This window comes from Homo sapiens, chromosome 10 (assembly GCF_000001405.40).
Source record: "Homo sapiens chromosome 10, GRCh38.p14 Primary Assembly".
NCBI classification, from domain to species: domain Eukaryota; kingdom Metazoa; phylum Chordata; class Mammalia; order Primates; family Hominidae; genus Homo; species Homo sapiens.
The window spans coordinates 52,256,242-52,279,828 of NC_000010.11; the positions used below are offsets into that span (position 1 = coordinate 52,256,242).

The window sequence follows — 23,587 nt, forward strand, 5'->3', positions numbered from 1 at the left end:
CTAAATCTAGAATAGATGTAGTAATTGTCTGCTGTGTGCCTCTCTTTTTGTTATATCCTCAGAGGCTCCCCTTTCTCTAAATCCTTTTCTGCTCCTAGTTTAATGGCAAAATACCTGCAGAGAAAAAAAATCCGACAGTGTAACATGGTAGCTAGAAGCTAGAGCTCTAGAATTAGGCTTTCTGGATTCAGATATTACCCATTGTGTATGCTTAGTCATTTACTTAAAACTTTCTGAGCCTTGCTTTTCTTGTCTCTGAAATGATGATAATAATAGGATATGTACCTCACAAGGTTGTGAAGATTAAACGAGTTAAAGCCCTCAAAATAGTGTCTCACACATCATAGGTCAGTAAATGGTGTTAATGTTGTTATTGTTGCTATTATTATTAAAGCATGCTAATGATAGTTCTTTTTATTTATCACTTCCAGCTATAAGCATAGAAAAGGAAGGGAATGAAAGTATTTTACTCTTTTCTTTTCCATTGCTAGGCCAAGGCCTGAGAGTGCAACCATTATTCCAATATAAGTAAGAGCCAGAGGTCTTCAAATGACCTTCAGTGATAACCTCTATTAAATTTCTCCAGACCACTAAGCTCTTAACTTTCTGATCTGTCATGAGAGGAGATGGGAAACAATTTTCAATATCCCTTATGCTGAACCTGTGTGCCCCTGAAGTAGCCTGCTTTTATTCATCCATTTCACTTCTAAATTGTGAAGCCCCACCTCTTAACCTCTCAATGGGAAATCATTTTCAGTGCAAACTGCTGAATCATACCTAGTTCCTCTCCAGCCTTCTTAACCCATGGCACCTCAGTTGGGCATAATAAAGACCTGGCTCTTGGCAAGTTGAATACAAAAGTTACCTCTCATTCCTTCTCTGCTGCAGTTCAGTTTCTAAACCACATAACTGGATTGCCCAGGAAAAGAAAATGTGGTAGTCGCGAGAACCAATTTATGCTAAGACAAGGAGGTGTATTTCACAGGGTGTGTCTGTTCATGACATCCATACCACTCTCACAGCATTTTTGCCAGCTGCCTTGGCACTATAAAAACAAGCAAGCAGGCTTGGAGTGCTATGTAAACCAATTGAAAAAAAAATAGAAACTAAGAGGTGATTAAGCAAGAAGTTAGGTGATAAACCCATTGCTCAGTCAGCAGGGTCTTATTGCGAAAGGTGAGCAACTTAACTCCAAAGGGAAACCCCATGTAAGATGAAAACATTTCAAGAGCTTCCTACTGCCAAGCCGCACAGCAATGAAACAGAATAGCTATGGAGATCTTTGGGCAGTATTGCCATGTGTACCCACGGTGATTTATGCTACATCGGACACCTGGGGAAACCCTGCTGCCCTAAGGCCTTGCATCCTCTGTGACTAAAGTGAGTAAGGACTCAATACTGGTTGAAACTGAAAGTTTGCTTCATTTTAACACAGCCTCTTCTTTAGTAGTACTCTGTGGTTTATTATTAAATATGTAATTCTCATGTTATGTTTATTCTTCAAAAGAATAAAAACGGACAAAAATTATTAACTCTAATAAATAGCACTCATTTCTCAGAAAATAAGTTCTTCAGAGAACTAATGAAAATCCCATCTAATAAACACTAATTGAGCATCAGTAGGTGTAGTAACAATATACTGCAACTGCTAAAATAACCACATGACAGTTTCAATGCAGAAATTACAAGTAGTAAAGCTTATCTCTACTTTGGTATATGCAAATAAAGTAAGATAAGCATTACTTCATCTCATTATTGTAGAATAAATTTCTTTTGTACATTGATAATTATAATAAAATTTAGATTACATGAATGAAAACAAATATGTTACTTTCTAACCCATCTTGTGAAATTACAGAAATTTTATATATTAGCAATCAATTGAAATGCCTATTTTTTCTTACAAGTAGTTGAAGTTAGTATCCTACCACAAGATAAAATGTTAATAGTTTCTCCTCTAAACCTGCATATGATTTTAGAATAATCACTATAAATCTAGAATGCACTGGGCATGTCTTTCCAAAGCTTAAAATAATTGGTGATAAAACAGCTCTTACAAAAGTTGACATTTAGGTCATACTTGCCTTTTTTGTTTTCTATGACATAAATATTATTTCTTTAATCCAAGAAATATTATTTCTTTAATAAAATAACCTTTCATTTGAACCCTACTTTATAATCTTCAAATTACTTTCATGTTCATTGTATAATTTTGCCCTTATAGCTACTCTGTGAGGAGAACATGAGACATGATCCACATTTTACAGGAAAGAAGACAAGAATAATGTATATATGTGGTTTAAGGCCACTTAGTCATTGAAAGAGCTGTTGTTATTGCCCAGAATTACTGATTTTTTAACTAGAAGCTTAATAATGGGTACATCATATTAGGCAAAAATCATCTGTTTTAAAACATCCAAAATATTTGTGGGATATAAAAATATCTGACATGATTCCTGCCCTCAAGGAATTTCTGCCCCCTCCTAAGAAAGAAGATAAGATTAACATATTGGAAAAGTAGCAAACAAAATATTATGCTATTGTGTTAAATTAAAAATTATGCAGAAATGTTCTTAGTATTTCATCAGGAGAGAGGTCATTTGAAATTGATGGAATAGAAGAAGGCCTGGGAAGATATACAGAACTGAAGCCAGGCAGTGGAGAATAGGTTGGGATTTAAATGAACAGATGGGGAAAGGCCATTCTGAGAAAAGGCCATTCCAGGCAAGGGTTACAACATAAAAGGCCACATGTTGTCACAGGACACCAAAGCAAGTGACCAGACTAGAGTGAATTACTGTGGGAGGAGCAGAGAGAAATATTAGATAGCTGATCAGTAGAGTATGATTGTTTATATTCTTTAAAAAGATTAGACTTGCCAAAAAAAAAAAAAGAGTTGTTTGGACATTAAGTAATGAAAGCACATAAACACAGACTCTGCTCTGAACTTCTATCTATGACATGAAAGAATGCACTATAAGGTGACTAGACAAGCTATTTTTAGGTGGCGCTGCTCCCAGAAATAGACATCATAATTTCTCTTCTGACAAAAGTAGGTTATTTTGTACCACAGTGCAGTCTGCATTCCTGAAAATTTCATGTAAACACTTTCAAAGAGGGATTCCTTCCATGAGAGGGAAAAATAGTCCCTTTGTATGTCTTAATTATGTAGAAAATAGTCATGTCTTTTTAAATAAAATGAAATAATTTATCTTGCTTTCTGGAAAAAATATGAAACAGGTAATTCTGTATGTTTCAATATATCTCATCAATTGCATATATTTAATTTATTGCTAATTAGTACTTGGTCCCTCAGTATTCCCCATTGTCATTGACATATACAACATATTAGCTTGAACATTGAGCTATGAGGTCAGGAGCTTTTGTGGGCCAGGTAGTTTGTTCTTAGTCTCTAGCTCCAGCCCACTGCCTTTCACGTTCACACTGAGAGTGGGGAGATCATCACTACCCAAAAGAAGTTCAAATAAATAAGTTAAACAAAGGAGAGCCACTGTCTCGTCATCACTATGACCTTGGATGCCACATCTGCACAAACAAAGCAATTTAAATTTTTAATGTGACTGTTTTCCCTGAAGTAAACTGGCATAGGCAAAATCCAGTAAATTCTTATTGAACTTACTTAGCTACAGTTGATGTCCTCTTATATTTGTGAAAATCTGAAACACAAGATAAATGTGAAATACAAGAATCGTATGGGGGAAGAAGTTATCTTTTTCTTTTTCTTTTTTCCTTAATTTACTTTTATCTGAAAATGTCTTTATTTTGCCTTATCATTGAAAGAGGCATTGAATCTTTCAATGGTTGGCAGGTTCTCCTCTACATCCTTCCAACCCCATCCTCCCCACCCTCATTCCCATTCCCCCAGCCCTGTCTCCCAGCACTTTTTCAGTATTTTAAAAAATATTTTAAATTGTAATAGCTTTAGGGGGTACAAATGGTTTTCGGCTACATGGATGAATTGTATCGTTAGCCTTTTTGTAACATCAGAAGGACAAAGTTTGAGGATAGCATGTAATAAGACATTAAGATCTGATTATAAGCCATTTTATTAAAGTTTTCCAGTATGTAACAGTTTAAAAAATTATAAAGTCATTCATCCCTATATTTCAAAAGTATAACTGCAATGCAAAACCTTTCATGAGTTAATTGGGCCACATGTCAGAAAGAGAGTTGAATTTCACAGTATGTGATCCTCTGTTTCATTTCAACTCATTTTAGATTTTCAGAGTCAATAAATGAAAGGAATTGAAATATAAATATTCAACTTCACCTACGTGGTTATATGTGTGCTTTAAGTATTAGAATAAATTGAATCTATGTGAGCTATTCATGTGCTCAATTTAAAATATGTAAACAAGTTTTCAAAACTGATACACATAGTATTTCCTTATACAAGGGAGATTATGCATAGAAATTAAAGTATTGGGTAGAGGATGAAAAATATTTGATTAGTTGGTGAAAAAAATAAAGTGTATTATAGGTAATAAAATTCTGTAAATACCATTTTTAATAATCACTGCAAAATGAAGTAAAGTTTATTTAGCATAAAAGCAGTAGGAAATAAATGTTATGTTTAAGGAATGAGAAGACACTCAAAGTAGGTAGCCTTTTGAATGAAAATGAATGAATAAACTAATTCCTTAATAAGGGAAATTATAAATGTTCTTTGATTTGCAAGTAACTTCTAGAAAATTGTCCAACCCTTTGTTCACAGTATAATTAAAAATAAGAAATTATAAATATTCTTTGATTTGCAAGTAACTTCTAGAAAATTGTCCAACCCTTTGTTCACAGTATAATTAAAAATAAGAAAGTATTAGGTTCTTTTTCTGACTTTCCTCCAAACTGAAAGTTAAATGTCTCTAAAAAATAGAAAAAAAAAACCTTATCTCCTCTTCAAAAATACCTTTGTCTTTTGATAAATTTAAACTTAATAAGATAGATATTTCCTGATATTTCTGGCCACCAGCTGTAGAACTGATTTTAAGTCTGAAGGTAAGTTACAAAGCAAATAAGATTACTGATATTTTGATGAAGGGTTAAGGTAAACGAAGAAAGAAAAACAAGGATGAGAAGAAGAGAGACCCTCTCTTGATTATCTTTCCATTGTGCAAATGGCAGATGGATTCAAATGAAAAGGCATATATATATAATAAGCTACTTTTCTATCCTCCTTTCTTTTCAAAATGTTATACCTGACTCTGTGTGTGTGTGAGTGTGTGTGTGTGTAGGTGTTGGGGGGGCCTGTCTATGAATAGGAACTTTGATGCATAAAGCCTTTACCATGAAGTTGAGTCACCACTACAGCAGTGCTGTGCCTCTGTGCCTCATTCAAACATGTGTCACTCAGGCTGTGACGAGTTCCTTTTATTCTTCTCTCTTGTGTATCCTATGAAACAAGGCAAATGCTATGGTTCATTCTTAAATTTCAGACATTGGCCAAGGAGAAAAATAAATCATATGATGTTATTGTGCAGAGAAAAGTGAAGGAAGTAGAGAAGTTATTGTGATCTCTGGTTAAGTTAATAATAGAATTAGTATTTTTTGTTATTGTTGTTGTTAAGAAATGTATATAATCCAACATTGATGTGAATCCAACACTGATTTGTAGGATAGAAGCTTTCTGTTCACTTAAAGCATTTCATTTCCTTTTAAGAATGTAGTAAGCTGGCTTCTCCTGAACAAGTGGGCACTTTAGTTGGCCATGTCCAAAAAGTTATTTGAGTTGGAGTAATAAAATTGCTTTTTCTTTCGCCATGAAAGTAAAACTTCCTTAAATTTAAACAGGTAGATTTGTCCTAGTCCTGTATTCATTCAGTTGATTGGGACTACTAACTTAAAAACAGATTTAATTATCAGTTGTAATAGTAAAATATCATATCTTGGAAATCATAGTAGTAATGATCATTCTTATATAACACTTCTTAATTTATAAATAATTTTCACATACACTATCTGATTTTAACTTACAATATCTGTTTCTATAATATGAAGCTGGTTTTTTTTGTTTGTTTGTTCTTTGTTTTTGAGATAGAGTCTTGCTCTGTTGCCCAGGCTGGAGTACAGTGGTACAATCTTGGCTCACTGCAACCTCTGCCTCCTGAGTTCAAGCAATTCTCCTGCCTCAGCCTCCTGAGTAGCTGGATTACAGGTGCCCACTGCCATGCCTGGCTAATTTTTATATTTTTGGTAGAGATGAAGTTTCACCATGTTGGCCAGGCTGGTCTTGAACTCCTGACCTCAAATGATCTGCCCATCTCGGCCTCCCAAAGTGCTGGGATTACAGGCATGAGCCACCGCACTTGGTCTGGTTTTATTCTCATAAGTAAGGAAAATAAGGCTTTAGGATGTCATATGGACTTGCATACAACCACAGTTGGTTTATTATTACAATATTTTAACCTTCCAATCCCCAGCATCCATGGGGGATTGGTTCTAGGACCTGTCCTCACCAATACCTCTTCCTGCTGTGGATATCAAAATTTACAGATGCTTAAGTCCCTAATATAATATGGCATAGTATTTGCATATACACACATTCTCTCCTATATTTTAAATCATCTCTAGTTTATTTACAGTACCTAATACAATGCAAATGTTATGTAAGTAGCTGTTATACTGTATTGTTTAGGGAATAATGACAAGAAAAATGTCTATATATGTTCACCTCAAACACAACCATCCATTTTTGTTTTCCGAGTATTTTCAATCCTTGGTTGTTTGAATGTGGATGCAGAACCTACAGATGCAGAAAGCTGACTGTACCTATTATTTTGACAAGATAAGTTTTAAAGAACTTTGTGTTAATTATGTACATTTTGTTTAAATTTATTCATGATCCTAATTTTTTAAAAAATAAGACTTTTAAATTTAGGTTTTTCAATAAACAAGTAGTAAAGTCATTAAAAATGACTTTTTAAAAATGTGTCAATATTTAACAGAAATTAGAGTTTAAAAATCTAGTTTGTGGCTAACTGGGGAACTTTTATTGTAAGTGAGATAGTAAGCACAGAGAAATACATTTTTGACATTAAATTCTTTAAAATGTAAATGAAACATGTAGCTACCTGACAAATCAATACAGAACTAGAAGTTGTAGATTCAAGGAATTACAAGTTCTCTCTCTTTTTAAAAATTCTTTAACAACTTCATTGAGGTATAATTTACATACCATAAAACTTTCCCATTTTAAGGGTATAATTCAGTGATTTTTAGAATTGTATGACCATCATATAACCCAGCTTTAGAACATTCCTACCACTGCAATAAGAACCCTTGTGCCCATTTAGAAATACTCTCCATTCCAATCTCCAGGATTTTTTTTTTTTTTTTGAGACAGGGTCTTGCTCTGTCACCCAGGCCGGAGTGCAGTGGCATGATCTTGGCTCACTGCAGCTTGAGCTTAGAGGCTCAAGCAATCTCCCACCTCATCCTCCCAAGTAGCTGGGACTAGAGGCATCCACCACCATGCCCGACTAATTTTTGTATTTTTTGTAGAGACATGGCCATGTTGCCCATGGCTGGTCTCCAACTTGTGAGCTCAAGTGATGGGCTCACCTCAGCCTCCCAAAGTGCTGGCATTACAGGTGTAAACCACCATACCTGGCCTGTCATCTACTTTCTATCTCTCAAGATTTACCTTTTCTGGTACAGATATTCAAATGCTAAAATTTTGTGTTACACTAAATATTTTTATTTTCTACATGTATGATCTAGTTCAATAATCTAAATACCCAGTTATTTAATGTATAGTAACTTCATGTCTTTTTTCCTGTTGAATTTTAGGGCAGTTTTATGGCTTCTGTATACCCTGCTTCAGCTTTGTTATTATACTCCACTGCTGCAGAACAGGATGTCTACATTGCTTTCTGAACGTAGAATCTAAGGCCAGTGTCCTACAGGGCTGTGAAGAGCTTTCTGGCAACGGGAATATTGGGAAATGATGGAGGTGGAACATAGTGCTTATGCATTTATAGGGAGTCTAGTGGTTTGTTTACTGATGTTCTTATTGTTGATGTTTTATTATAGGCCTTTGGCTGATTTTGGTGAACCTGCCCTTTGGCCCGGTTAATCTAATAGGATAAGATACTCACAGTCTCTCAATGTAGGGCTTTCTCTCTCCTTCCCCCTCCCCTCCAGCTTTTTTTTTCTTCTTTTCTTCCTTTGCAGAACATTTCACTACAGCACTTGTCTTAAATTCCTTAAGTTATCACAATTTATATTAAACGTGGGTTACTTAAACGTAAAATCATATACCTTGCCAAATTATTTCTGGATTACTTACAAAGACTTTTTCTCCCAGGTTAAAGAGAGCCAAAACTAAAAAATGGCTTTATGCTTCACCAAATAATATAGATTTCCTGAGTAAAATTTTGTGCTATTTTATTTAGAGAAAATATTTGCCATTCCTATTTTGCAGCTATTACAATTACGGTGACTCTGCCTGGATTCCCTTATGCCTTGAAGCCTGTTTTAATGCTCTTCCTGAGAAAGCTACTGCTACTTTTTTCCAGTGTGTGTTCTTTGAAAGTTAGCAACACAGAGAATATAACAGAAACCAATCCCTTCATATGTTGGGGTTGAGAGGGCAGAAAATAAAACCCCCACCCCCGAAGAGAATATGAACATAAATGTAAAGTCAAGGTCATACTTTCAGAGAGGACCATCATGTTTCCTTAAGCGACCTTTGTGTTACTTGGAGTATTTCCCCTTTTCCTTCTTCCCAAGATATTGCCACATGTTTTTTGGGCCGTTTCTATAAGGTTAAATATAATTAACATGCTTTAAAAATGCATATTACGTCAAATTGCAGATGTATAGAATTCTCTAGCTGGAATGAGTTTTTAAAGATAATATAGTTTTGCCCTTTATTTTCTGAAAAGTGGTCTGAGGCCCAGTGAGATTATATGACTTATTAGTGAAAGATCCAGAATTAGGTCCCAGGTTTATGTTTTCCTTAACTCCCTTCATCACCGTTGTTCTGTAGCATCAGTTTACCTAAGGTAGAGCATGAAGGGAGTACCCTTCTCCTGCTGTGCATGGAAATGTAATTTGAACCACTTCATATGGGACTTTTGCATAATAATGAGTCATGTGACATTGACAGTTTAAGCCTTGAATTTAAGAAATCATTTCAATTACAGTGTAGTTCAGGAAGTAATTTTCTTCCAAAATAATTAAGATATTGACAGTGCAAAATAAGCTACGAGCTCTTAATAACAAGGTTAAATGAATGAATAGATACAAATTCTAAGGATCAACTCACAGCCAGTGGTACTGAGCCAGTTTTAACCTTGCCTTGATCATAATCTTCCTTCCCAATAAAGGCAAAAAATTGGGTCCAGTAGGAAACAAGCCTTTTTAAGGCAACCAGATACCCTAGGTAGAAAGGAAGCATGTACTGTATTTAAATACAACCAGCAAATGCATCTTCAGAGCTCTTTAAAATGCTGATGACATCACCTCTCATTTTCAGGCCAGTATTATGCAGACATCAGCTATAGCCAGATAGTTAAGAACTTGTCAAAATCCTTGTCAAAAATTCCCACCTTAAGATCTACTTGGCCCAAGTATACATTCATTCAAATGTCAATATAATACTTCATTTTGAAGTAACAATGTACTGTAAATGAAACATTTACCGATTCTAATTTCTAATATAGCACATAGCATTTCTTATATAAAATAAAATGAAGATCTTGAGTATTGAAATTTTCTTGTTCATTTTCCCTTTTTAGGAATTTTGAGAGTAAAACCAGTGTGGTATAAGCATCCATAATCTTTGTTTTTTGAGAACAGTTATATAATTACAGAAAAATGTGAAGATAGTACAGAAAATTCCTATATACGCTGAACCCAATTACCCCTATTATTGACAACTTACGTTAGTATGGTACATTTAGTTAATGAACCAATATTAATGCTTTATTATTATTATTATTATTATTATTGTAAACTTTTTTTTAAGTTCTGGAGTACATGTGCAGGATGTGCATGTTTGTTACATAGGTAAACATGTACCATGATGGTTTGCTGCACCTATCAACCCATCGCCTGGTATTAAGTCAGCATGCATTAGTTATTTCTCCTGATGCTCTCTGCCAACACCCCCAGCTCTCCCCCGACAGACCCCAGTGTGTGTTGTTCCTCCCCCTGTGTCCATGTGCTCACATTATTCAGCTCCCACTTATAAGTGAGAACATGCGCTGTTTGGTTTTCTGTTCCTGCGTTAGTTTGCTGAGGATAATGGCCTCCAGCTCCATCCATGTCCCTGCAAAAGCACATGATCTCATTCCTTTTTATAGCATCCACAATATTATAGAAGTAGCTTCTCAAATCCTTACTCATCTACTTGTTAGCACTGAGGTGGGTTGCAGTCGGAACAAAGAAAACACTTTGTTTGATACATAACACTTTTATTTAGTTTTCACAGGTAATCTGTCAGGATATCCCCATATGATAGATGAGGAAATGAAAGCAGAGAGAGTTTGAGTAATTTGTCCAAGAGAACAAGCAAAAAAACAAAAAAAAAGGTTGAGATTGAAAAAAAATTAGTCAAATGTCACACTAGTCACACTCTCAACCAGTGCATTAGCCTGTACACCTAGGAGATTAGGACAGTCTTCAAAGGAAGACAAATCTGAGGAACATGCATAACTATCTAGGCTAGTCCTTGGCAAGAGGCAGAAGAAAAATATGCACTCCTGTTCTCCTTTTTTGCTGGCTGATCTCTTTCTCTACTCGAAAGTAATTTCATAGCTCTAACCAACTTGCTAAAAAATCATCATCATCATCATCATCATCATCATCATCTTAAATGGACACAAGTGGACTTTGTATAATTAATTTAGACAACAGGAAAAATAAAAAGCAAACTAAATGTCACCTTACAATTCATCATGGATTAGGTTTGTTAAAATATTTTTATAATAAAACCTAGTATCTTAGGCTCAACAAATACAAATTGCTATAACTGACTCAGAGTTTACTTTAAAAAAAATTTTTGTGGCCAGCCCTGTAAGAAGGTAATAGTGTGGTTCAGCCCCAGACCTCAATAGGTTGTTATGCTCTGTACAATTTCTCAATATCTTTGCATTCATGGAATTCTAGTTGAATCAGAATCAATTAGAAAGATTCAGACAATAATAATAAATAGCTATTACAATTTAAAAGAGACTTGCAAGTTTTTTCATGATGAGAGTTTTACTTTTACTCATTGTAAAAGCAAGGTATGAGGATTGTTCAAAAGTTAAGCAATTCAAAAAGTAAAAAGAAGTAAAAATCAACTAAAAATCTCCCTAAGGAAAAATCATTGTTAACGTATTGATGAACACATTTCTGATTGTCTCTTCATACATTTATTTCACATATAGATGTGTGTGTATATATATACATATGAATGTATATATACACACTAACATACGAACACACTGTGAGATCATAAAATGCATGCTGACTTGTAATCAGTATCTTTTATTCATATATATGTCTTGGTTATTTTTCCGTAATGTTAAATATAATTCTAAGTCATCATTTTTACAGTTGCATTGCATGGATATACCATAATTTATTTTTCAAGCTCCTCCTCTTGCTAGAAATTTAGATTGTTTCTAAATTTTTCCATTAGAAACAATGTTGAATTGAACATTCTTGAATGATCTTTGGGAAGTTGTTGGTTTATCAGAAGATTTCTGATGAATATGTTACTTGGGCTTTATGGAAATAATTAACTTCAACATTCTCCACTGTCTCTGTTGAGTTAGCTCACACCAGTGGTCCTCAGGTACCCTGACTTTCTGGTTAAGATCCTGAGTTCTGTGAGTCTTGTAGCATTCTGGTTTAAATTGGAAGTGGAGATTCTAAGGGCCCTGCTCTAAGGAGCTCATGAGATCTTGTATAGAGTCCAAAGAAGGAAGATGATTCTAGACCCAAGGACTGGTTCCATGCAAAGTAAAGGCAAAGCAGAAAGCCTCAGTAGGTTAGCAGTATAGTTCTATAAACTTTTTGTAATTAATGCTTTTTAAATTGGCAACTAGTAAGCCTGACTCCCAAGAATTTCTGTTGCTTTCTGTAGCTTTTACCTATCTCTTATGACATCTGCCACCCACCAGTTCTCATTATCCTCTTTCTACCCCACTTGGCTTCTCCTTGCAGTATTCAAGCAATCGGGTATCTCAAACCCCTAACACATGGAGGTCCCTGGGAAGTGCCTAGGAAAATGTCAGTGAGGCTTTGGCTGTTCTCCCAAATCACATGCCTAGCATAAGTTAAGCTTAAAGGTAATAGAAATATTGTTCAGTTTATCTCACAGTCCATGAGTTAGTCGATTCCGTTAAACTCTGATTTGCAAAGTATCAATCACTATGCATTTAATTGGTTTTGTATTCAGCTGAAGGGAAGCAGCATATACTGGAAATAGCTTGGGCCAAAAAAAAACCTGAACATGAATCCATTTCTGCCACTTGATAGCTCTGTGACCTTGGGAAAGATAGGAATCATTTTTGGAAATCAGTTTGTTCCTCTGAAAAAGCAACATTTGATTTGCCCTATTCAGTAGAGATTGCTGGGTACAAGCAGAGTCCATCAATGAATGCCCATTTGGTGGTGCGTTTTCATTTAGGATCATAATAACTGTGGTATCTGGTATTATCCTCAGCTAGAACTAGGGCTCAGAGCAGTTAAGCAACTAGCCCGAGAGAGACTAGTTGCTTAGACTGAGAGGGACTAAGTGGAGTCAGAATTCAAGTCCAGACCTGTGACTATAAAGGCTGAATTCTTTCCTCCTACCCTGTGTACAAGTATAAAAAAAAAAAAATCTGTGTATCTGTGTTATCATCACTAAAGAGAATCATTTTTATAGTAGGCATTTTTGAACAACTGCACAACAGTCCTCACTAGTTTAACTGGGAATGACTCTGAAGAGGGAATATGACTTTACTTCTTCTTCTCTGAATTGTAGTACTCTAACATAGCTCATTTTTCATGCCATCTTCCCTAGCTTTCCAGATTTCTTTTAGAAGTGAGTTTTCACATTTGGTGTTTTATTTTGAGTTACTACTGAATTTATTTGTAGCACACTAATCTGTCATCTTTGAGTTTCACAGCCAGAGTACAGGGTCTTTGGCTGTTAAAAGCATTTTCAAATACCCATTTTTCCCTCTACCTGTCATACTGATTCACAATTGCTGGCAGCTAACCGAGGCCCATTTATTTGCAGTATCTTCATGCTCCCTCCTAAGGAACTTGCCACATGAATATCTTCGAAGATTGAACTCAATCTGTACATGTGTGCAGGAACAAGACACTTAAGACCTTCGCTATCCCTGCTGATGAAGCAGTAAATAATTAACGACTAAAGAGGGGACAGCCATACTTCAGCTGAAAAGCAGAAACAGCATGCCATGTTATTTCCCCAAGGTTACATTACTCCCAAATAATATGGGCTGTTTGGTATCATCTTGAGGATTCTGCTGCTTGAGAGCACTAGATGATAATGTCCTTACATTGCTTTTAAGTAATTAGCTCTATTACCTCTCTTGTTTTTGTTACAAGTCACCTTCTTGAAATTTCTTGTAAAACCATAAACAGCACCCTGTCTGAGTAAGGCATGTGGAAGATCCATGCCTCCTCTGGAGCCACTGGGAGCCATGAGGGCTGCAAGAGAGGCATGGCACATTGAAAGATATTAAGCCTCCAAGTCTTCCCAGTTATTAGAGAGTAAAGTTTGAGGTCAAAGGAACTAAAGCCATCATGCTTGTTTGAGAAGAAAAACAAACGGTTTTCAAAATCTCCTGAAAAAATCTTGTTACAATTTTTTTTCTCTTTAAACTGTAGGGAGGGAAAATTCTGCAAGGTTAAAAAGAAGAAATGAATACAGTCAGTACTGAAGAAATAACAGTCTGCAGTCTCAGCAGAGACTAGGGTCCACCACTCAAGCTAAAAATTAGAAATGTTAACAACAGGTGCTGGAGAGGATGTGGAGAAATAGGAACACTTTTACACTGTTGGTGGGACTGTAAACTAGTTCAACCATTGTGGAAGACAGTGTGGCGATTCCTCACAGATCTAGAACTAGAAATACCATTTGACCCAGCCATCCCATTACTGGGTATATACCTAAAGGATTATAAATCATGCTGCTATAAAGACACATGCACACGTATGTTTATTGCGGCACTATTCACAATAGCAAAGACTTGGAACCAACCCAAGTGTCCAACAATGATAGACTGGATTAAGAAAATGTGGCACATATACACCATGGAATACTATGCAGCCATAAAAAATGATGAGTTCATGTCCTTTGCAGGGACATGGATGAAGCTGGAAACCATCATTCTCAGCAAACTATCGCAAGGACCAAAAACCAAACACCGCATGTTCTCACTCATAGGTGGGAATTGAACAATGAGAACACATGGACACAGGAAGGGGAACATCACACACTGGGGACTGTTGTGGGGTGGGGGGAGGGGGAAGGGAAAGCATTAGGAGATATACCTAATACTAAATGACAAGTTAATGGGTGCAGCACACCAACATGGCACATGTATACATATGTAACAAACCTGCGCGTTGTACACACGTACCCTAGAACTTAAAGTATAATAATAATAAAATTTTAAAAAAAAGATAAAAAAAATTAGAAATGTTTGTGGATTAGAACTAAGGAGGAAGAATATAAAGGCCCATATAACCCTATTTTTGGCCATCTTTACTGAAATAAAATTGGAAAAGAAGTTTTTTTTCTACTCTTTTGACAGAAGAACTATAAAATGTATTCAAACACACTCTATGACATGAAATAATAAAACTAGAACTAAGTACATTTTCCCTCTTCTAATCCACACGTGAACACAATTAATTTGGAATCAAGTTAGTTAAAATTCAGCCAATTCAGAGCATGAGATTGGATGATAGCTGTGAGCCCTGGATGTTAAACGCAGCTCTACCAAGGATTTACTGTGTTTTGACTTGGGAGGTGGCTGAGGTTCATTTAAGTGCGCCATGTACCTGTTAATTTGGGGATAATAATGCACTCTTACAAGTCTATGGGCTTTTTCTTACTCTCTTCTCTCTTTCTTTAAGGTCCAGTTGAAAAGTGAAGAATCCAAAACGTTTGCAATGAAGATTCTCAAGAAACGTCACATTGTGGACACAAGACAGCAGGAGCACATCCGCTCAGAGAAGCAGATCATGCAGGGGGCTCATTCCGATTTCATAGTGAGGTAAAGGCTCCATGCCAGGGACAGACGTACCCAACTCCAAGTGACAAATCCACCACAAAACCCTCTGCCACTTGTGCTCACTGTTAACACATTTCGTATGCACAAAGAAACTTCTTTTTAATCTAATCTTAAGAAAGTTTTGTTTGATTTCTAAAAATAAAGTTCTGACTCTATTCTTTCTTTTAAAGAGAATTAGTGTCTGAAAACAATGTGTTTTCCCAAAGGAGGTACCAGAGTTTCTAACATTCCATTTTTATCTTTTTTTAAATCCCCAAACTCTACATAGACCTTTGATGCTTAAAAGACAAAATATCCAAAATCAAACTATTTAACCTTTAATTATCTGAATATTTTTTGAAGATCTAAAAAAATGAAATGACAGCTGACCATTCCACCTCAGTACTAATAAATGGATAATGGGGAGATTTTTATATGTGGAAGCAGCTTTTTGTAGTGAATTTTCCAGTGGCATTTACTGAAAACAAGATGTAACATGAATTTGAGCGAATAGCATATGAAATTTATACATGTCTGAATCTGTAAAGTTTAATCCACTTTATTCCCATTTTCACTGCATGTTGATGACCACTAAATGTTGCCCCAAGGGTCTATGCTCAAAACATTACCCAAATTGGAATGGAAAGAATCCCAAGAAACCCTCTTTGTCCATAATCATTATGATTAATCCATTTCAAGGGAGAGATTAGCGCCTTAGTTTCTTCTATTAAAATCCTATTCATGAGCCATTGGCTTCTTTTCCCCATGTGTGGGCTTAGATCTCTCTCATTCTGACAAAATTTTGAGCTTGGCAAATCAAAACTATAATCTGGGCCCCCCAAAATTGCACACTTGTAAAAGACAGTAATGTTTATAATCTTTGTTTTCTTGTTTGCAATTTACAGACTGTACAGAACATTTAAGGACAGCAAATATTTGTATATGTTGATGGAAGCTTGTCTAGGTGGAGAGCTCTGGACCATTCTCAGGGATAGGTAGGAGATTTAAGAAATTTCTATGATATCTCTAAAAACAGTTGCCCATGTTGGTCTATAAGAAGAGTTAATATGATAAAGTATAATAATCATATTTATAATTTACACATGCTTATATTTCAATATTTAAAGTAAGCACAGGGCATAACCCACTATACACATATGATTTACTGTACATATAACAAAACTCACTTTGTAACTAACAATACAGGCTTAGTCGATCATAAAAATGGTACATAGCAAAATATATACATGGCCTTAGTTTTGCATGAATGTTAGAATTAGCTCTGTAGCTGGAATTCAATTCATTGCTTTAGCAGAAAGAGAATTATAGTTATTTTATAATTATAATTTGAATTAACTATCAGTTTAATTGCTCTACTCTTTTTCCAGATAGGCAGTTTGCCTTTTGTGACATTGTGAATTTTTTCCAAAGTAATTTTTCCCTCTACCTTTACATGGCTCTTTGGTTTCAAAATTAACAAAAGTTTCCAGCCATCTCTTTATCCCTTGGCTAGTCTTAGGAAAAAGAAAAGAATCCACTTATAAGCAATATTTCATGTAAATTATCTGATTTAGATTTACCTTCTTACCCTTCCAGGGCAAGGAAAGTTTGTCTACATGGTGCTTGTTTGTTCTAATCATGCAAATTCATTGTCTTAATTTTCCATCTCATATTTAGATAACTAGCAAATTATCTAATTATCTTCTAATATAATTTATCCTATAAAATGTCTCAGGAGATCATTATCTACCCTGTGTTTTTTTAAAAACACACTTTTATTTTCCTATGAATAATCTTTTGATTATTTTCCATGAATGATTTATTGATCATACAAAAGTCATCTTTGTTCTTTTGAACACTCACATTTAGACATCTGTATTTTTCTTATTTGTTTGAGTCCTGCCTCCCAGACTCTCCTTCACAGGGTAGCATCCTTCTGAAACTTAGCTATAGGTAGCCCTGATGTATATAACCATGTAATGTTTTTATATTTGTTACTTTGCAGATACCCCAGAATAAAACAAGTGGTTCCTTATGAACTGTTGATTTAAATTCTCATTCCTAATGGTGTTCTTATGGTACCTTCATATCTTTGTACAACAGGCCCTTTCGTGTTATTCCCATGGCCTTTCTTATATATGCCAAATGGATTTCTTGTTACCACATTGTATCCTATTGCATCGGTATTTTATTTCAATTCTTAAATTTAAGGTTAAAAAAGCATAAAAGGGAATGTAATCATGTTGGCATTAGGCGATAAGGTTAACATCTATACTAAGCTATTATATCATAGTGTATATATTATGTATTATTGCTAGTTAATATGTACATAGAGATTATATACCAGGCATTGTGATAGAGGCTGGGGATCCAGTAATAAACAAAACAGATGGGGTCTCTCTCCTCAGAATGTATAGTTTGTGGCACAAAGTTAATATTTTAATCTGTGAGTTAACATTTGGCATATCTAATGTGTTTCTACTGTATTATATTTGACTTGATATTTCAATTCACTGATTTATTTGAAGTCTTCTACTTTTTTTTCTAATTAGAATAGAAGAAGATTTACAGGTGGAATTAAACATGAAAGCAATAATAAGCCACAAAGGGAGAGCCCAGCTATCCCTCTTATAGCTTATTATTTTTTTATTTTTTCATAAGTTATTGGGGTACAGGTCATATTTGGTTACGAGTAAGTTCTTTAGTGGTGATTTGTGAGATTTTGGTGTACCCATCACGCAAGCAGTATGTACTGCACCATATTTGTAGTCTTCTATCCCTCACCCCCCTCCGACTCTTCCCCCCAAATCCCCAAAGCCCATTGCATCATTCGTATGCCTTTGTATCCTCATAGCTTAGCTCCCACATATCAGTGAGAACATGTGATGTTTGGTTTTCCATTCTTGAATTACTTCATTTAGAATAATAGTCTCCAATTTCATCCAGTTCCCTGCAAATGCTGTTAATTCATTCCTTTTTATGGCTGTGTAGTATTCCATCATATATATACATATATATATATACATGCCATCATATATATATATATATACACACACACACATGCCATCATATATATATATGCCCTCATATATATATCACAGTTTCTTTATCCATTCATTGATTGATGGGCATTTGATTTGGTTCCATGATTTTGCAATTGTGAATTGTGCTTCTATAAACATGAGTATGCAAGTATCTTTTTTGAATAATGACTTCTTTTCATCTGGGTCAAATGGTAATTCTACTTTTAGTTCTTTAAGGAATCTCCACACTGTTTTCCATAGCAGCTGTACTAGTTTACATTCCCTCCAGTAGTGTAGAAGTGTTCCCTGTTCACTCCATCCACACCAGGATCTATTGGTTTTTTGATTTTTTGATTATGGCCATTCTTGCAGGAGGGAGGTGGTATCACCTTTTGGTTTTGATTTGCATTCCCCTGACCATTAGTGAAGTTGAGCATTTTTTCATACGTTTATTGGCCATTTGTATATCTTCTTTTGAGAATTGTCTATTCATGTTTTAGCCCACTTTTCATTGGATTATTTGTTTTTTTCTTACTGATTTGTTCGAGTTTGCTGGAGATTCTGGATATTAGTCCTTTGTCAGATGTATAGACTGTGAAGACTTTCTCCCACTCTGTGGGTTGTCTGTTTACTCTGTTGACTGTTCCTTTCGCCATGCAAAAGCTCATCAGTTAAACTAGGTCCCAGCTATTTATCTTTGTTTTCATTGCATTTGCTTTTGGGTTCTTGGTCATGAAATCTTTGCCTAAGCCAATGTCTAGAAGGGTTTTTCCAATGCTATCTTCTAGAATTTTAGTAGTTTCAGATCTTAGGTTTAAGTCCTTAATCCATCTTGTGTTGATTTTTGTACAAGGTGAGAGATGAGGATCCAGTTTCATTTTCCTACCTGTGGCTAGCCAATTATTCCAGCAGCATTTGTTGAAAGAGTGTCCTTTCCCCATTTTATGTTTTTGTTTGCTTTGTCAAAGATCAGTTGGCTGTAAGTATTTGGGTTCATTTCTGGGTTCTCTATTCTGTTCCATTGGTCTATGTTCCTATTTTTGTACCAGTGCTATGCTGTTTTGGTGACTATGGTCTTATAGTATGGTTTGAAATCAGTTAGTGTGATGTCTCCAGATTTGTTCTTTTTGCTTAATCTTGCTTTGGCTATGTGGGCTCTTTTATGATCCCATATGAATTTTAGAATTTTTTTTCTAATTCTGTGAAGAATGATGGTGGTATTTTGATAGGGATTGCATTGAATTTGGATTGCTTTGACAGTATAGTCATTTTCACAATATTGATTCTACCCACACATGAGCATGGGATGTTTGTGTCATTTGTGTCATCTATGACTTCTTTCAGCAGTGTTTTGTAGTTTTTCTGGTAGAGGTCTTTCAACTTCTTGGTTAGGTATTTTCCGAAGTTTTTGGTTTTTTGTTTGTTTGTTTGCAGCTATTGTAAAAGGGGTTGAGTTCTTGATTTGATTCTCCACTTGGTCACCATTGGTGTATAGAAGAGCTACTGATTCTTGTACATTAATCTTGTATCCAGAAACTTTGCTGAATTCTGTTATCAGTTCTAGGAGCTTCCTGGAAGAGTCCTTAGGGTTTGCCAGGAAAACGGTTATATCGTCAGCAAACAGTGACAGTTTGACTTCCCCTTTACCGATTTGGATGCCCTTTATTTCTTTCTCTTCTCTGATTGCTCTGGCTAGGACTTCCAGTACTGCGTTGAAGAGGAGTGGTGAGAGTGGGCATCCTTATTTTGTTCCAGTTCTCAGAGGGAATGCTTTCAACTTTTCTCCATTCAGTATTATGTTGGCTGTGCCTCCCTCAATTTACAATTGGCAATAAATCTGCACAGATTGCAACATACTTCAGGTTCATACACTCACTGATTGTTGTTACTCGTCAATGAAAAAGGTGAAATATTTTGATGAGAGATGCTTAGCTCCTGTTACATTCTGATATCCAAGAACTCAGTTTATGACAAGTTGACTAAACATTGTGATTAAATTTTAATTTGAGTCTATCAATATTCATAAATAACCTTCTATTTCTCTCAAATTGTCATCTAACTGCCATCTAGCTTAAAACAACCACCCATCCCCAAAGAGGGCATAAGGGCCTTATCTCTCACTGGTTTTAATTGAAATGACACAGCTGTCAAGGCATAATTCATTATTTCAAAGAGCTATATAAGGCAAGTGATTTATTTCTTTAAGTAACTATCTAAACTATTGATGAAACAGGGTTTCTTTTGTTTTAAATCAAATTTACATTGTCATTTCCAATTCTAATAGTAATTTTTCATTGTGAGTCACCTCAGTGTTATGCTTTGTGACTGCTTTCAAGATGTCTATTTTAAAATCCACAAGTTATCTACATCACATGTTTAGTGATGGGACAGTGTGGTGCTGGTAAACATTTGTGTGCATGCATTGTATAGATTTATCAAAGTTTGAGACAAGGTTTTCATTTAATTTTCAAAATCGGTTACAAATATATTTATATGTGAAAGATACTCAATATAGATGTGTTGAAGGAATGGAAACTAGATTTCTAAAACCCTCCACATTCCAAAATGACTCAAAACCAGAGAAAACTGGAAACAAATAGAGTTGTCAAGAACTGAGGACCCTAAGATGTACAATTTGTGGTCTGTTTGCTTCGTGGTGAAAAAGGGAGAGCTTTGATTGGCAGGCAATAAAAGGGTAATTTTGGCCCATGTGAGAAGCATGGGGAAAGTGAAAAGAACAGAGATTAGCAAAGGATTCTTCAGAGTTGATTTGTGGCAGTTAGCCTTGGCAGTCAGAAGCACTTAAATAACAGAGAGGATTGGTGTTCCAAACCCCCAACCTCCACCCTGAAAATACTTCATCCCTATTCTATACTATGTTAGTTAATTTTACTATATTAAGACATAGTAGCTAAAAAATAGTTTTCTGGTGCTCAATCATAGTGGCTACTATTACATTTAGTGAGCACAAGTTGTGTACCAGGCACTTATTTTCAGTACATGCATTATTAATTCTTTGGATCTTCACAACAACCCAGTGAGATAGTTACTGTTATTAGCCCCATTTTGCACATGAGAACACAGAAACACAGAGACATATAGTTAATTGCTCAAGAACAAACAGTAAATGGAGTCTGGAGTTGAGCCCAGGATTCTTGCTTCAGGGTCCATATTCTAACATATAGCCTCCTCCCATGAATTTGAGTTTGTATTAGCATTTTTCCATCTTTCTGCTAATGACCAGCTTATTCAGAATATAAGTATAATATTCTGCAGACATTTCATGAGAAATTGATCTCTCACCTAAGCATTTACTCTCATTACAACATTAACAATGCATTTGTCCATTTGATTCCATTACCAATTGACTATTAAGGAAGCAGAGGTATGTTGCCCAGAGTCACAACTGTAGAAATAATCTCCTCTTCTACTAACAGTAATCAAGCATTTGTAAGCTTTCAAAAAGGCCCACTCAAATCACAATTAGACAGTCCTGATGTAAATGAGTAAACAGGCAACCTACAGAATGGGAGAAAATTTTTGCAATCTATCCATCTGACAAAGGGCTAATATCCAGAATCTACAAGGAACTTAAGCAAATTTACAAGAAAAAAAACAGACAACCCTATCAAAAAGTGGGCAAAGGATATGAACAGACACTTCTCAAAAGAAGACATTTATGCAGCCAACAGACACATGAAAAAATGCTCATCATCACTGGTCATTAGAGAAATGCAAATCAAAACCATAATTAGATACCATCTCATGCCAGTTAGAATGACGATCATTAAAAGTCAGGAAACAACAGATGCTGGAGAGGATGTGGAGAAATAGGAATGCTTTTACACTGTTGGTGGAAGTGTACATTAATTCAACCATTGTGGACAGTATGACAATTCCTCAAGGATCTAGAACCAGAATTATCATTTGACCCAGCAATCCCATTACTGGGTATATACCCAAAGATTATAAATCATTCTACTTAAAGACACATGCACATGTATGTTTATTGCAGCACTATTCACAATAGCAAAGACTTGGACCCAACCCAAATGCCCACAATGACAGACAGGATAAAGAAAATGTGGCACATATACACCATGGAATACTATGCAGCCATAAAAAAGAATGAGTTTGGCTGGGCATGGTGGCTCACGCCTGTAATCCTAGCACTTTGGGAGGCCAAGGCAGGTGGATCATGAGGTCAGGAGGTCGAACCCCCATCTCTACTAAACTTAAAAAAATTACATGGGCATGGTGGTGCGTGCCTGTAGTCCCAGCTACTCGGGAGGCTGAGGCAGGAGGATCACTTGAACCCAGGAGGCTGAGGTTGCAGTGAACCGAGATTGCACCACTGCACTCCAGCCTGGGTGACAGAGTGAGACTCCATCTCAAAAAAAAAAAAAAAAGAACAAGATATATAGTTTGAAATAAAATAAGACCATTCCCTTTACTCTTTCATTTTGTTTTGTTTTGCTTTGCAATGCTCTCCATTGAGAAGGGATTTAATTCATAGATAGCAGTGTAGCTAAAGCTATATATTAATTATATATACACAGATGCTTACTCTTTAAGGTAAATAATCTCTTCAAATGAAAGAAACATGCTACTCTTGACAGGTAAACATACTTAATTAAGGGCGAAGAAGAAAGGACCTTCAAGGCAATACTGTAATCCCTTTGGAACTACATACAATTATAAAATTTTAACTCTGCCAAAGATATCTCCAAGTCAGAGGAAAATTGTAGCATGAAGTATATCATTTGTTTCCTCATATGGATGCAGTTCTCAAACTTTCTCTTGTGCTCATAAATTCACAATTGTTCCATTCAGATATTATTCAAGGGAGATTCAGGAGTCATGGTAATTATAGTTAAGATTCTAGAATCTAGAGGAATAGATATCATTATGCCTATAATTAATTATGTTTCAGAAGAATGATATTTTTCTTAGGAAAAGCTGGTTATTTCAGTGAAAACTCAAGTGATATTAGTAGCTGAAATGAAGACATTCTCTTTCTGGAAGACACTACCTATTTCTGAAAGCCTGAAAAGTGGCTGCTTTAGCCTTGATTCACTTATGAATTTTGTAAAAATGTAACCATATTCCACTGCCCAGTTTGTTAAACTTTACTCCACAATTTTGAAAAAAAAATAAGTGTCACCAAAATGCAAACAGGCATCAGAGACTCATGAAAGCAAGCTCTGAAGCTATCATTTGTTGTACACTGTCTATTAATAAAATCACTTGTGTGCTTGTCACTCATGTTATATCTCAACCACCTCAGGCGCTGATGTTCACACTAATATTTTTGAATTA

The 23,587-nt window shown here is 35.5% G+C and overlaps 1 protein-coding gene across 4 annotated transcripts in view; it reads left to right on the forward strand.

Moving 5' to 3' along the window:
• The window catches only part of PRKG1 (protein kinase cGMP-dependent 1), a 1,307,463-nt gene that overhangs the window by 1,265,354 nt on the left and 18,522 nt on the right, over nt 1–23,587 (forward strand). For all 4 annotated transcript variants that reach the window (NM_001098512.3, XM_017016413.2, NM_006258.4 and 1 more), the window contains 2 exons: nt 15,109–15,248; nt 16,151–16,240. In NM_001098512.3, the coding sequence (NP_001091982.1) occupies nt 15,109–15,248; nt 16,151–16,240 (230 nt within the window). The remainder of the gene's footprint in view (nt 1–15,108; nt 15,249–16,150; nt 16,241–23,587) is intronic.